General features: G+C 51.5%; 1 protein-coding gene across 15 annotated transcripts in view, besides 4 other annotated features; it reads right to left on the bottom strand.

Moving 5' to 3' along the window:
• The window catches only part of TRAPPC9 (trafficking protein particle complex subunit 9), a 730855-nt gene that overhangs the window by 158083 nt on the left and 558120 nt on the right, over positions 1–14652 (bottom strand). For all 15 annotated transcript variants that reach the window (NR_164662.1, XM_011517326.3, NM_031466.8 and 12 more), the window contains one exon: positions 72–162. Coding sequence is in view for 14 of the 15 variants with exons in the window: in XM_011517326.3 (XP_011515628.1) it covers positions 72–162 (91 nt within the window). In the remaining variant the exon portion in view is untranslated. The remainder of the gene's footprint in view (positions 1–71; positions 163–14652) is intronic.
• Positions 8544–9743: an enhancer, noted in NCBI's record as "P300/CBP strongly-dependent group 1 enhancer chr8:140906595-140907794 (GRCh37/hg19 assembly coordinates)". NCBI's record gives its function as "activates an origin of replication core promoter dependent on BRD2, BRD4, P300/CBP, MED14 and CDK7 cofactors, with strong dependence on P300/CBP, by STARR-seq in HCT116 cells {active_cell/tissue: HCT116}" and the evidence as "EXISTENCE:reporter gene assay evidence [ECO:0000049][PMID:35650434]".
• Positions 8844–9343: an enhancer, noted in NCBI's record as "H3K4me1 hESC enhancer chr8:140906895-140907394 (GRCh37/hg19 assembly coordinates)". NCBI's record gives its function as "activates a minimal SCP1, AML or CMV promoter by ChIP-STARR-seq in primed H9 embryonic stem cells {active_cell/tissue: H9 hESC(primed)}" and the evidence as "EXISTENCE:reporter gene assay evidence [ECO:0000049][PMID:30033119]".
• Positions 8966–9195: an enhancer, noted in NCBI's record as "active region_28026". NCBI's record gives its function as "activates an Ori minimal core promoter by ATAC-STARR-seq in GM12878 lymphoblastoid cells {active_cell/tissue: GM12878}" and the evidence as "EXISTENCE:reporter gene assay evidence [ECO:0000049][PMID:35858748]".
• Positions 10905–11105: a silencer, noted in NCBI's record as "peak7187 fragment used in MPRA reporter construct". NCBI's record gives its function as "represses an SCP1 promoter by STARR-seq MPRAs in K562 erythroleukemia cells {active_cell/tissue: K562}" and the evidence as "EXISTENCE:reporter gene assay evidence [ECO:0000049][PMID:32103011]".

Raw genomic sequence — 14652 nt, forward strand, 5'->3', positions numbered from 1 at the left:
GACCTTGCTCGTGCATTTGGAGAAAAGGAGCACATCCACCCAGAATCGATGGGTGGCTGGCGGGTACTCACCCCACTGCAGAGGCGCCAGCTGCAGGTGCTCCAGGACGAGCTGGTTCAGGAGTCCTTCCACACTCGCCTCGCCACTGCGCTTCAGGGAGGGGTGAGCCTTGGTCAAGGAAAACGCAACTCCTGCGGAGCCCAGGGACAGAAGAACGTCTAGAAGTCTCTAGACAGAGACCCTCAGATGGGAAACCTCCTACAGCAGATGTCTCCCCTCTTCTGAAGGGACTGTCTAACCAACCACTATGACATCACCCTGGGTATGTGGACATCAGGGGCATATAAAACAGCAAGTGCTTGTCCTCCTACCCCTCAAATCTGGTAAATTAAACTACTGTTATGTAAGAAAGGGAAATCCACTGGGATAATTTTAATCCAACAACTATTCTTGCTGGGGAAAATAAAGAGAAATGGAAGGTTATTTTTCCTTAATAAAATATGCAAACTGGTTCACTGTTCAATACAACCCATGAGTTCTTTGACACGCGTCAGTTTCATGCTGGTTTCACGTCGGTCCTGTTATCCTTCTTGATGTAATTACACATATTATTACGAACGAACTCACTTAAGCAAGCTCATAATCGAGGAAGCCATAAAGTCTCTCAGCAAGTATCAGTGGGTGAAGAAATTAGGTTTAAAAATGTAGAAAACAGAAATCTCCCTTGCGCTAGTATTAAACAGCCAATGTGATTCTCAGATCTGTAAACCTCTTTCCCTTTTCCTACATAAGTTAAAGCCACCACATTTAAGTTGCAATAAAAGGGGAAAATTTTAGTTTCTGACATTCTCTAGTGACTGCAAAAGTGGAGAAAATACCCCACCTTCCTTCTTCCTTTCATAAATTAATTCCATTCAACAAACACATCCAGTTCATCTGAAGCACACCATGCACAGCAGGTGGTGTGGCCTTGAGGATGAAGGAAGGGTGGGCCACGCACCCTGAAGCTGAGAGGTTCCCATTCTGGTGAAGGCAGCAACGTAGAACCTGAGAATCGCATTGGCCAACCCCAGGGACAGTCCTATGGGAACAAAGCTCCTGCAGTCTGAGGTAGAATGGAGCAGAGGCTGAGCATTGCGAGAGAGAGGGAGCAGGACGAAATGGAGGCCCCTGGGTCTCTCCTGCTGGCTCATGGGGGAGTCGGGCTCAGAGGTGCTCAGCAGAGCGGGCATATCCCCCTCATCAATGGTCCAATGCAATAGCCACAGAGGGCTGTCCAGACAAGAAGGCTGCCCAAGAGAGCCCGCCGGTCACACCACCACAGCCACCAGCAGCAGGACAGGCTAAGGTCAGCAACATGCTGCCCTGGGGGCTCGGGAACCTCTACCCACTCCTGTGTCCTATTTTAGCTTTTTTTTTTTTTTTTTTTTAGAGACAGAATCTCACTCTGTCACCCAGGCTGGAGTGCTGTGGCATGATCTCGGCTCACTACAACCTCCGCCTCCCAGGCTCAAGTGATTCTCCTGCCTCAGTCTCTCGAGTAGCTGGGATTACAGGCACCCGCCACCATGCCCAGCTAATTTTTGTATATTTTTAGTAGAGATGGGGTTTCACCATGTTGGCCCAGGCTGGTCTTGAACTCCTGACCTCAAGTGATCTGCCCATTTTGGCCTCCCAAAGTGTTGGGATTACAGGCGTGAGCCACAGTGCCCAGCCCTAGTTTAGCTATTTTGGACTTCTTTCAATTCTTCCCAAATACTGTGTGCTCTCTCTGAATTCCAAGCCTCCCCTCCCACACTCTGCGTGTTCTGCCTGGAAATGTCTTTCCCTGCCCTCTTCTCTTCCCTGACTTTATATCTCAACCTGACCTTGCTTCTCCTGCAGGAACCCTCCAGAAAGTGTGCATGCATCCCATGACAACCTGTGCTAGACACGGTCATCTTCCTGTTACTTGGCTTCAGCCCTAGCCTGTGAGCTCCATGAAGGCAGAGACCTGGTCTTAGGGCCTAGAACAGTGTTTGGTTCACAGAAGTTGCTCAATATATATTGCCTGATGAATAAATGAACACTAAATGAGCAAATGTCCCAGGTAGGAGTGCAGAGGCCACGCCTCATTCAGCAGCACAGCCCGTAGCCCCTCCACACGCAGCACAGTGCAGTGGCTATGAGACTCAGCAAACCTTCCTGCACCTGACACCCGTGGGCCTGCTGATGGCTTCTGCACATTCTCAGGGTTCACTGCTCAGGGTCTTCTTGCTCCTGGCTCCAGTCCGCACATGCTGCTTGCTTCATTCCACAGCACCCCAAATGTCTAACTCATCCCGTCCTCCCTCAGTAGAGAATCCGAGGGCTTGGGAGCTGTGGCTGAAGCTCTGAGGCCGGCAGAGATGCCCTGGCCCTGAGTAAACAGCTCCTGCCCTCACTGGCTCTGCTCCCTCTCTTCTCTTCGTGGAGCTTGGTGCCGAAAAGGGCAGGTTCTGGAGACTCGGCCCAACTTTGAATCCTGGCACCCCCACGAATGAGCTTTGGTTAATTTACTTAAAGTCCCTGGCCTCACTTTCTTCATCTGTAAGATGAGCATGCTAGCAGTGCTAACTTCACAGGGCCGTCATGAGGAGTGCACGGAATCATACCCCTGGCCTGTGGGTAGCATTAAGTAAGTGTCACCTACTGTTAGCATCAGCCTCATCCCCATTCTTCTCCTCTCTCCTGTTCCTCCTCCCTCTCGGAGGAGATGCAGAAACTTCTCTCCTTGCCCCAGGAATTCACCCACCATTTCTGTTGCCTCGAACTCCCTTGGGGGTCTTACTCTCGCGCAAGCAATTTATCAAAGTGTTTCCTGCAAAGATAATTCCCTCCCTTAGAAGAATTCTCCAAACGAAATTTTCTCCATCTCATTACACACACAGCCTATGTTTGCTGAACTGATATTGTTACTGACAAATACTCTGCAATGAACTTTTAATTATCTCATTTTGCCCTGTGACAATCCTGGAAGTTCGGATTCTAGCATTCACCTCATTCATTCAATAGTTAACAGGCAGCTATCTGAGCTAGGGTTTAGGGTTATGGAGCTGACTGTGACCCAACAGACAGTCTTTTCAGAACATGCTGACCTCCAGCAATCATACTTCCAGGTTTATACCCAAAAGAACTGAAAGCAGGGACTCAGACAGATATTTGCAAACCCACGTTCACTGCAGTGATCTTCACAATAGCCAAAGGGTGGAAGCAACCAAAAGTCTGCCAACAGATGAATGAATCAACAAAATGTGGTCTATCCGCAAAATGGAATGTTATTCGGCCCTTAAAGAAAAGGACATTTTTGACACATGCTACAACATGGATGAACCTTGAGGACATTATGCCAAGGGGAATAAGCCAGGTACAACAGGACAAACACCTATGATTCCACCGATCTGAGGCACCTACACTGGTCAAATCCACAGAGACAGAATGGATGTGGGCGGGGCAGGGAAATGGAGACCCCTTCGCTTCAGCCATAGTGAAAGCAGGTGGCCTAACCACGGAGCTGAACAGTTGTCCCTTCTCGGGAGCCAGTCCCCAGGCACAGACAGCCACAGATATTTTCTAACCTCACTTGGGGCCTGAATCGCCTGAACTAGGTGCTTGCTGGGTTATGAGAACAAACGTTTCCAGGAGTGCTCAGTCCCTGAGGGAGACAAGGAATGGGAGGGAGTGTTTCATGGGTGCCCAGTTTCAGTTTGGGAAGGTGAAAAAGTTCGGGAAGCAGATGGTGGCAATGGCTGCATGATAATTTGAAAATGTTTCACACTCCTGAGCTGGACACTGAAGCACAGTTACGAAGGTAGATTTTCTTAAAATGCCGACCCAGGAAGGAGGCTATAATTAGGAAGCAGAGCGACGCTAAGGAAGCCCGGAGGAAGCCATAATCAGGAACAGAGAACTGAGAAATCTCGCAGGGTAGCGGCATCTGAGCAGAGGGCCACAGCAGGAGCTCAGGAAGCACTGGACAAGGACAGCCCCCCTGCGGCCCCCTCGTCCTTCCTAAGGCAATTTTGCAGGCAGCTTCCTCCAATCAAGCATGCAGCCGCCCTGTGTGTTCATTCATTTTGCGTCAGTGGCCATTTCCTCCCTCAGCAGTCAGGCTGCATCTCCATGAGGGGTGCTCCTTCTAGGGGAGTAGGCACAGGAAGCAACAGCTGGGGATCGGGGTCCTGCCTTCCTGCATCTCCCACGATGAGGACGGAGGCCGCCGCCCCGGGCCTGTTTTGAGCGCCAGCAGCAGCGAGGCACCCCTCAAGGAAGCAGCGCCCTGCAGCTCCTTTATCTTTTTGCAAAAGCGAATCCGACTCTCCCTCAACGAGCCAGCACACGTGGAACCCAGTGGGTTTGGATGTCCGGGGTGTTTGGGACCTCAGGCATGACCTGTGTGGTCCCTTCCCAAGCCCTAAGCCGTAACAGGGAGGTCAGGCCCTACGGGCATCTGGCCATTCGTGCTCTCCGTTCCGAGCACCCCATCAGGGCTAAGGAGGTGCCCTGCTCCAGGCCCAGGGACATTTGCAGAGGTTGAGCTTGCTCCCTACCACTGCACTCTTCTCAGGAGAAACAGCCAGGCCCAAGGACACCATGTCCGCCTGCCCAGGGCAGTCCATGGCCAGCCAAGCCCCAGACTTGAGGTGAAACCAGGTTCCTAGGCATCTCCTGGGAGGACCTTAGGCTCTGGATATGTGGCAGGCTCACAGGTGGAGAGAGGGCTGGCCTGGCTGGGCGACGAGGGGTCAAAGGCCATTGTGAGGGACCCCTTCCCGGTCTGTTTTCTCAGTTTTCAAATACGGGAAGGCGAAGGCTTGTCTCCCTCAGGGACTGAGCACTCCTGGAAACATCTGTTCTCATAACCCAGCACCTAGTTCAGGCGATTCAGGCCCCAAGTGAGGTTAGAAAATATCTGTGGCTAGATGATGAGTTAGTGGGTGCAGCACACCAGCATGGCACATGTATACGTATGTAACTAACCTGCACAATGTGCACATGTACCCTAAAACTTAAAGTATAATAAAAAATAAAAAAATTTAAAAATTTAAAAAAAAAAAAGAAAATATCTGTGGCTGTCTGTGCCTGGGGACTGGCTCTCAAGAAGGGACCGCTGTTCAGCTCCGTGATTAGGCCACCTGCTTTCACTATGGCTGAAGCGAATGGGTCTCCATTCCCCTACCCTGTCCACGGCCAAATGCCTGAGTAAACGGCAACCCACGCTCAGCTTCCCAGAAATTTTATTTTCTTAAGAGGAGTTGCTTAGTATTAAGAACTCATTGGCTGGGAAGGTTTGTGTCTTTATGAGCAGGGCATTGCAGGGTTTCATTGCCACAGATAATGAGTGAATTGTTTTTCTTCCTTTGAACCCACAGATTTGAATATCCTCATTTTAATGCTCAAGGCACCATATTAAATTACTTGTCAAGGTGAGGAATGTGAGAGTAAGGGAATCTCATCAGCAAAGATTAAAGAACTTTTCTGAAGGAAGGGGAGGAAGCAAAGCATGCATCTGGCACGTCGGAGAGGCCCAGGGACACCTGTCCAGTGGTGAAGGGGCAGGTGCTCAGCCCAGGAGCCTGCACTTCACCCTCCCTACAGTCTTGCTGGGTGAGGGCTGGAGCTAGGATGCAATCCCAGGGCTATGTGGTTCCCACGCCTATGCTTCCTCATGCACGTGCTCATCCACTCAGGCTGGGCCCTGGGCTGGATGCAGGGTCCCGAACCCAGCTCAGCGGCACATGCGGCACCCTCCTGGAGCTCCTGGTCTGGTGGCCACGGGCCAGGTGGGATTGGCTGCACCCTGCTCCCCGCTGGGGCTCCCTGAATCCATGAGTTATCATCAAACTCGGGGCTTGACATCTTTCAAGAGGGCAAGCAAAAAATGCAGAGTCCACCATAACCCCATGGATCTGCACACTTGTGGGGGTGGGCAGACCAACAGCCAAGAGCTCCCATCTCCAGGGTGCGTGCTGCAGGCAGGGCCCGCTCTAAGCAGCTTACACGTGCTCAGCGATTTAACGTTCATCATGGCATTACAAGGTAGGCATTATCTAATTTACAGAGAAGGAAAGAGGCACAAAAAGGTCAAGAAACTGGCCAAGGCCACACACCACATGGCAGCCCACTCTGCCCCCAGAGGCTGCGTTCTCAGCCACTGCCAAAGGCCTCCAAGTTACAGAAACTGGGCAACAATACCAGGCCCCGAATGTCATGTTTCTGCATGAATATGTGCATGCACACCAGTGTGAATGGGCACATACCCATACATGGGCCGCCACAAGCACATGCGCCGCAGCACCCCGAGTCCCGCACAAAGGCAAGGCTGCTAAGAAGCTTCAGGGCCCCGCTCCTTCCTGGCCAGGGAAATCTCCTGCACTGCTGTGCTGCTCTGGCCCCCACCCCGGCATGGAGCCCTCTCTCCCCATGTAGTACCCAAGGGACACCACGATGGCTCATACCAGGCCCCTCCTAGGAGAAGGTCAGGGTAGAGGGAGGGGAGCACCAAGGTGGCCCTGAGACTCCAGCTGCCTCTCTCTGGAGAGGAGGTGAAGGAGAACCTCCTGCAGATGAACTGATGACAGTCTAGCTCTCAGGACTGTCTGCCCTCAAGAATCTCAGAGGCAGAGGTCCTAGGGCCCCACTAGGATAAAGAGACACAGGAGAAAATGTGGAGACAGAGGAAGACAAAGAATAGGCCAGAGGGCTGGCCCTGTGAGCATTACGATGATGACGTCTGCCAGTCACGGGTAACACGCACCACAGGTTTGGGACAGGCACCCACGGTTTATTTTCTTGGAAACTGTACAGTGTATTCCAAAACTGCTCAATTCCAGGGCTCCTAAGGTTGCCCCAGCCTGACCCACACCTGCTCCAAAACCACTCTGGCTTTCCTCCGCTATAGAAGCACACAGCAGCTTGGGTACTCCTCCACTATAGAAGCGCATCGAGGCACAGGCACTCCTCCACTGTGGAAGCTATACCATGGTGTGGGCATCCCTCCACTGTAGAAGCGTGTCAAGCCACAGGCACTCCTCTGCTGTAGAAGCTGCACCATCACTGGCACCCAGTCGTCTATCAGCCAGGGGGAGGGGCCCTGGGTGCAGTGTTCACAGCCTCAGTCCACAACGACACCTACTCTGGACAGAGGGAGTCCCCAGTGCCCGTTCTGCAGGTGGTCAGGAGGATGAAAAGATAGAGGGGAAGGCTTTCAACCTTACTGATGCTACAGGCCCTGTGGGAGTTAAACTCACTCTGCCCTCTAAGGATTTACAAACCAAGACGTGCCGTGTTTCTCGTAGCCCTGGTGAGGGGCTCCTTCCTCTGTGCCCCACAGCCCTGGCGAGATGCCTCTCCTGTGGAGCTTCAGGGGCTCCATGCTAACTGTCCATTTCCATGTCTGTTTTCATAGTGGACTTGGAGATCCACATCCTCACGGCGTGCCGCAGACCTGGACGCACCCTGCTCTCTCCTTTTCAGGCTCTGTGCCCAGCTCTTCCTGGAATGTCCCTCCCCTTCTTCTACCTGGCAGACTCCTCTCTTTCAGACCCAACACAACCATGCCCCTCAGGGGAGCCAACTGAGCACAGCCACATGCCCAACCTGCCCTGGCGGTCTGCACAATGCTCTTTCGAGCGTGATCCAGCAATGCTGCAGTTGGCACTTGCATGTCTCTTTCCCTTGAGGAACCGTGAACACCTTTCTTTGAAGCTCTCATGTCTCATGCAACTCCTCGGACCAAAAGTAGCTCCATAAACATGGATTAAATAATGTAATGAAAACATGCATGGCAAGTCTGCATGAATGTAGGCATAAAGAAAATGACGGTATTCATCAAAAGCTGCCCTTCACCAGCAGTGCACCCACAACTCATCTTCAGCATGAGGAACAGAGTGGCTCCCTGACGATCTACTCTGGCACACCAGGAGGTAACTGATGCTGGCCCTTGGCACAAAGTCGGCACACACAGCCAGTACCGTCTAACATGTGAGGGGACCGAGCCTCGGGAAGGTCAAACAACTTGCTGGCTTTGAGTGACAGGCAGGATGCTAGCCCCAACCTGGGATGTCACGTAGCACCACGTGATGCTCACAGAGCGGAACTCCTCCCTGCCCACAGGGGCACGGGGCAGATGCAAGCCTGCTCCCAGATAACTCCGACCAGTCCTGTGAATTCTTCTGTGGCAACCGCTTGGCACCAGCATCCCTGCCCACAGCCACCCTGCAGCTGCCTCAATTCCTGTTACTCCATCGGCCACACCAGCCCTGCGTGCTGTGACACTGCTGGCAGGAAAACACAGCCAGTGCCCTTTATGAGAATTCTTAGAGGTTTCGGGCAACTAATTTTGATTTAGGGTAAGTTTCTAGAAGGTCTCAGGCTAACTCAGGGCAGCCCCCTGCACTTTCTACCTGTCGAGTCCCGGCACCAACAAGACCCTCACCGAGCAGTGTGCAAAGCTGTTTCCCTCCTTGCGGGGAGGCCCAGGAGAGAGCCAATGCCAACCCCCAACGAGACCACTGGTCACCGCGCACGACTGGGTGATCCTGGGGGGGTGCTGTCCTTTCCAGGAGGGGTCAGCTCTGCTGAGTCAGTTTGCCCCAAGCCCCCACCTCACCAGTGGCCTGGGCTCAGCCCCACTGCTGCGGTGCCCTGAGTGCGCCACTCCTCCTAGGAAACGCCATCCCCTGCGGAGTGTGAGGGGACTGGACCCCGGGAACTGGAGTGCCTGCAGCGGAGGGAGGGGGGGGCTGCTGCTTCTCTTTCCCTTGCAGCCCCCACAGAACAGAGCAACTTCCTCTTCAGTAAAAAAGACATCAGATCTCACTTCCTCCACTCCTGACCAGACCCCTGTGAGCCATGCTGTGACTCACTCTAATCAAAGGCAGAGGAGAGTGGAAACGTGTGTGCCGTGCTGGCAAGATGAGCTCAGTTTCACTGTTTCTGGTTTCGGCGTTCAGCTGTCATCTCACGGCCCTCATGGCTCATGGGCACACGAAGTCACGCTCAGAGCAGTGACCAATCCTCACTGAAGAAAACGCTCCCACTGGCCAATTCTAAATCTCAGAGTCGTCCAACTGGGTCCCAGAGTGGAAGGGGGAAGGGAAGACACGTTGGGACATGCCTGAGCCATGTTGGGCACTACGACAAGGGCTGTGCCTGTTCCCTTCAACTAGGTGGGGCCAGGACAGTTGCCACTCTTACTCAGGGAAAGAACCAGAAACCGGAGGGCTCAACCACACGTCCCGGGCTACTCGGGGACAGAACGGCCACCCCCGGAGCCACTTTAACTCCAGAGGCCAGGCTCTTTCCTGCAAAACGACATCTCCAGAGGAAAAGGACCTGCTCAAGAGCCCGTCTGCCAGACTGGTAACAATATGGAAGTGGAAAAGCATCCCTGTTGACGAGGCGGGGGGCACACAGGCATGCTCCCGCTTTGCGGTAATATTCTGCAGCAGGAAAGAGGAGAGAGAACATTGCCTATGAAATAATATGAGAAGTTTCCCAAGATATGCAGTAAGTGAAAAAAGCAAGATGCAAAATGTATACATACCTTTTGTGTAAAAAAAAATTACGGTAAAAAGGGTGTTTGCATGTACTTATTATTTCAGAAATAAATTTTGTAAGTTTCTATAAGAAACAAATAAAAGTGGGTGCTCTGGGAGGTGGAGAAGGAAAAGGGAAGATGGGAATGTCTATTTTTTAAAACGATTTTGAACCATGTGCACCTACTTAAAGTAATACAAAAATTAGCATAACAAAAGTAAACAATAATGTGCCCTTGGTAACATCATGAACAAAATTAAATGTTGAGAGTTCACTATGGGCCTGGGACGCTGGGACACAGCTGCACTTGAGTGTGGGCCTCACCCCGGTCAGAACTGAGAGGCTCTAGGGAGGCAAGTCACTGATACACTTGGGCTCAAAACACACATTTTTGTTTTTCTTTCTTTCTGCTTTCCCTCCTGATTCTCTTTGGAGTTTATTTTCACTTTCTTGAAATAAAGACCTACATTTTGGCATATTACTTTCATTAAAAAGTCTCACACCAGGCTTTGGAGGCAGGCAGCAGCCCCGTGCCTGCAGAGCAGAGACCATGCCTAACAGGCCCGGCCAGGCTGAGAAGCTCTGCAGTGATTAGTCTGGGGAGCAAGTCCGCCTGTGAGTAATTACCAAGTTGCCAAATGGTGCTGGAGCTTTGGAAGCCATTCCAATAGCATATTTCTGTATTAATTTGCTTTCGGACATGAGCCATAAAATTATACAGCTAAGCTAATAAAGCTAATTACCTGCATGCATATCCGACTTCCTTTCAGCCCTGTAAGCCACCCAAACAGTCTTGCATCTCAGCCTGTGCACAAGAATGGCAAGGCTGGCTGAAGGCAGCGATTACAGCCACAGTTGTAATACTACAACATACAGTGGCAATGGTGGCAGTGATGGGGGTGGCTACTATCTCTTAAATACGTGGACCCTGGCATTTGGAGCAAGAGGTCAATCCATAATGATGATGACAATAGTAGTTCCTATCATTATTGCCACTATAGAGAACATTTCCAAGGTGCTTGCTGTGAAGGATGCCCTGGGTAAGTGCTCAACACGCATCTTCTCACTGCAATACTCACCACTTTCAAGCTAAGACTTCAGAATATGGTGGGTATGAGATAGGTACTGTTATTTTCATTTCAAAGATTTTTCTAGAAAACTGAGGCTCATGGAAAGAAAAAGAAAGCCAGTGCCGCTAGCAAGTGGCAGGGGCCAGGCTTGAACCCAGCCAGGCTGACCCCTGAACCCACACTCTGCTCTCTGGCTTTCAGAGATTATTCGATATGTTGTATTGACTCCTCACCGTAAACCTGGAAACCAGGAGCCATGAGTCCCACTGGACAAAGATCCTGCTGTCCACAGGGCCAGGTTGTGCCAAGGCCCTGCAGTTGGCCAGCAGTTGGGTCAGTGTCCACACCAAGCCTGGCCAGTGTTTTTCCAGCCCAGAGGGAAGCCCAGCACAGAGCTCTCCATGGTGCTGAAGCAGCTGCCTCCCCTCAAGGCTCTTCCTAGGCACTTGGGGATGAAGTTTCCAAATCGTCAACAGGTTTTTACCCCCACCATTCTGCCCCTGCCTCTCAGGAGACAGAGATGAACACACTGGCAACAGAACTGTGAAATCACTGCTGGGGCCAACCCAGGCTTCACAGAAGTCCCCTAACCCATGCCCACTGTTTAATGACTGACATCCCTGCGTGCCTGAGCCCTAAGAAGACCCACGTCCCAGCCCAGCTCATGTTCTCATATCTGGAGCTGCCCACAGGCAGTTTCTAACACCCTTGCAAGGAAACACAAATTCCTCTCACAGCGTCCTCCAAGCTTGCCACTTTCTGCCTCAGAGACACGGCTGAGTTACTTGGAGTCCATTACAGTTTGCTCACATGCCCTGCTGGTCAAACACCTGTGGAGGCAGTGAGCCGTGAGGTCCAGGGGCTGGGGCTAGCCCTGCTCAGTTTAACCTTCCTCTGCCATCCCTGCTCAAACCAGCAAGATGAATGAGGAGGCAGCCCCACCTTCCCAACTGCTTAGCTTCTTGGCCTCCCCGTGGGAAAATATTATTTCAAAGAACAGAAAACATGCAATCCAAGCCACTAAAGAAAGAATTCAGAGGACTGCTTGTGGTTCCAAGCCCTGGGAGAGGAAGGGACAGTACCCCAGTCACCGCCACATGGTAGAGGCTCCATAAATGCCTGCTGCTTTTCCCTGAGCACCTGTGATGTGTCAGTTACCTACAGATCATCCCACATAGTCCTCACAACAACTTCAGGTTTAGGAAGCCTCCTTGGGGATGTTAGGTAACGCTCCCAAAGCCACACAGCCAGAAAGGGGTAGATTCAAACTCACCCCAGTGGGGTTTCAAATTCGGGGTCTGCTGCTCCAAGAGCAGTGCCCCCTTCCCTGTCCAGACTCCTCCCATGAATCCGTGTTTCCAGCATAACCAGCCTGAAGTCCACAGCGTGCCAGAGTGACGGGGTCAGGAGCTCACCTTCAAAGCAGCACTAAAGACACAGAGACTTTTGGGTGCTGTGGAACGTTAGAGGCACTTGTGTTGCCCCTTGAAGAGGGCGAGAGCCCCTTGGACTCAGAAAGCCTTTTTCTCCTGTGAGGTCACACATGAAGTTTTCTGGGGGACGACGTAAGGCAGTGGGAACACAGATGTGCTCTGTGTTATTGGCTTAGGCCAATAACGGTGTCAGCTCGTCCCCTGCCAGTGAGATGGTGAAGCATAACTCCAGGAGTAAGTGGCGTACGCAAGTGGGGCTCCTCCTAGAAGAGGGGCAAGGGGCGGCTACTTGCCCAGGAAGAGCAGCCCCAAATATGGCAGGCAGGGAGCCCCAGCACAGCACTTGGCAGGCTGCCCCTTGGCTCTGGGCCCCGTGCCTCACTTCCACGGTAGCGCCAGCCACCCTGGGCTTCAGATACTTGTGGCCATGACCGATTTCCCAAACTAGACCCCGGTAAGCATCCTGAGGACAAGGGGCAGGTTTACGGTCTCTGAGTCCCTAATTCATTTCCACAGAGTTGGTCACAAGTACAAGTCAACTGAATGAATGATTTTTTCCAGGGATGATGCAGAAGAAACCTGATGGTAGCTTTCAGTGACCACCTATGCAAGGCCACAGTTTATCAGCGAATGTCCACCCACACAAGCTTGTGTCCGGGAAGATTTACTGAGCACCTACTCTCTACCTGGCACTGGAGGAAGCCACGCTTCCTCGGAGCAGCGGTCTTATGTGTGTGTTCAGCCCACAAAGATTACACAGCACACTCAACTCAGAGCCACATTCGAGCTTCATACCCGCCACATGTGAGATGCAGAGGATGTGGCTCTTCTGTGAAGGGGAAACTGAGGTTTACAAAAGTTGCATATGTCATACCCCGCTCTCTCCAACAGTATCAGATCTCAATCCCTTCCGTGAATTTAAAAATCTGGCTTGAAGAGAAAAAAATACACATTGAAAAAACAGAAACAGGCCGGGTGCAGTGGCTCATGCCTGTAATCCCAGCACTTTGGGAGGCTGAGGTGGGCGGATCACCTGAGGTCAGGAGTTCAAGATCAGCCTGGCCAACATGGTGAAACCCCGTCTCCACTAAAAATACAAAAATTAGCCAGGCACGGTGGTGGGTGCCTGTCATCACAGCCACTTGGGAGGCTGAGGCAGAAGAATTGCTTGAACCCAGGAGGCAGAGGCTGCAGTGAGCCGAGATCGCACCATTGCACTCCAGCCTGGGAAACAAGAACAAAACTCCGTCTCAAAAAAAAAAAAAAAAAAAAAAGAATTTAAAAAAACAGAAACAAACAAAAAAGGATATTTAGTTGACCCTTGAACAGCATGGGGTCAGGGGTGTCTACCGCCTACACAGTCGAAAATCCACATGTAATTTTTGACTCCACCAAAACTTAACTACTAATAGCCTACTGTTGAACTGAAGTCTTACAGATAACATAAACAGTAAATTAACACGTATTTTGCATGTTATATGTATTACATACTATATTATTACAATAAAGTAAGCTAGAGAAAAGAAAATATTAAGAAAATCATGAGGAAGAGAGGACACATTTCCTATTCATGAAGTGAAAGTGGACCATCCTTCATCCTTATCTTCACGTTGCGTAGGCAGAAGAGCAGGAAGAGGAGGCACTGGTCTTGCTGTCTCAGGGGTGGCAGAGGTGAAAGAAAATCTGCATGTAAGTGGACCCACGTAGTTCACACCTGTGTTGTTCAAGGGTCAACTGTGCCCTGAGCTATACCGGATACTCCCCATAATTACCCCCAAGAGAGAGGCCCCATCCCATCTTCCTTCTCTGCAAGCTGCATGGTTCAGAGCAGGGTCACTGCTCTGGTTTTCCACTGTAACCCTTTAGAGCAGAAATGAGTTTCACAAGTCAGGTAACCTACACACCAGCAAGAATCCTGTCCCTAGTTGGCCTCCTTCATTCCAACTCGACACCCTTTAAAGGCCTCACCAAGGGCTGAGGGCAGGAGGCTGGGAGAGAAAGCAGAGACAGACCTGTACTGCCCTATATGTACATTTGGAGACTCTTGTGCCTAATTTCCAAAGGCAGGGAGCACAACCCCACAGAACCAAATGTGTTCTAGATGTACAAGGCCAGGCCAGGAGCAGGTGGAAAGGAAGACTTCATTCCACCATTTGACCAGAGCCGTCTGTCCTCCTCACGGTGAAGGTGATCCCGTCACTCGCTGGGTCAAAACCCTTCAGGGCGACCCACTGCTTTTAGGACAAAGTCCCAACACCCCAGCACAATCCATAAGCTCCCTCACAGCTTGCTTTTCCTGTTGCCGCTTCCCCTTTTAGACCCTGAGCCCGTGTGCGTGTGTGCCTGGGTCCTCACTTCCAGAGACGGCGCTGTTTGCTGTCTTTGCTCTGCTTCCCCTGTGCCTGGAGCACCCTTAGCCTTGTCATTCTGGTGAACACCCCCATCTTCTAGAGCTCAAACATTGCCTTATCTGGGATGTCTCTACCCTGGAAACCAACCCTTCTGTCCTCCCTGGCTGCCACCACTGCACCCTGCAGAGCACGCATCCTGTCCTTGCTGTGTTAGGTGCTGGGGATTCAGAGACCAAGTTG

The sequence above is a fragment of the Homo sapiens genome, chromosome 8, assembly GCF_000001405.40.
Source record: "Homo sapiens chromosome 8, GRCh38.p14 Primary Assembly".
NCBI classification, from domain to species: domain Eukaryota; kingdom Metazoa; phylum Chordata; class Mammalia; order Primates; family Hominidae; genus Homo; species Homo sapiens.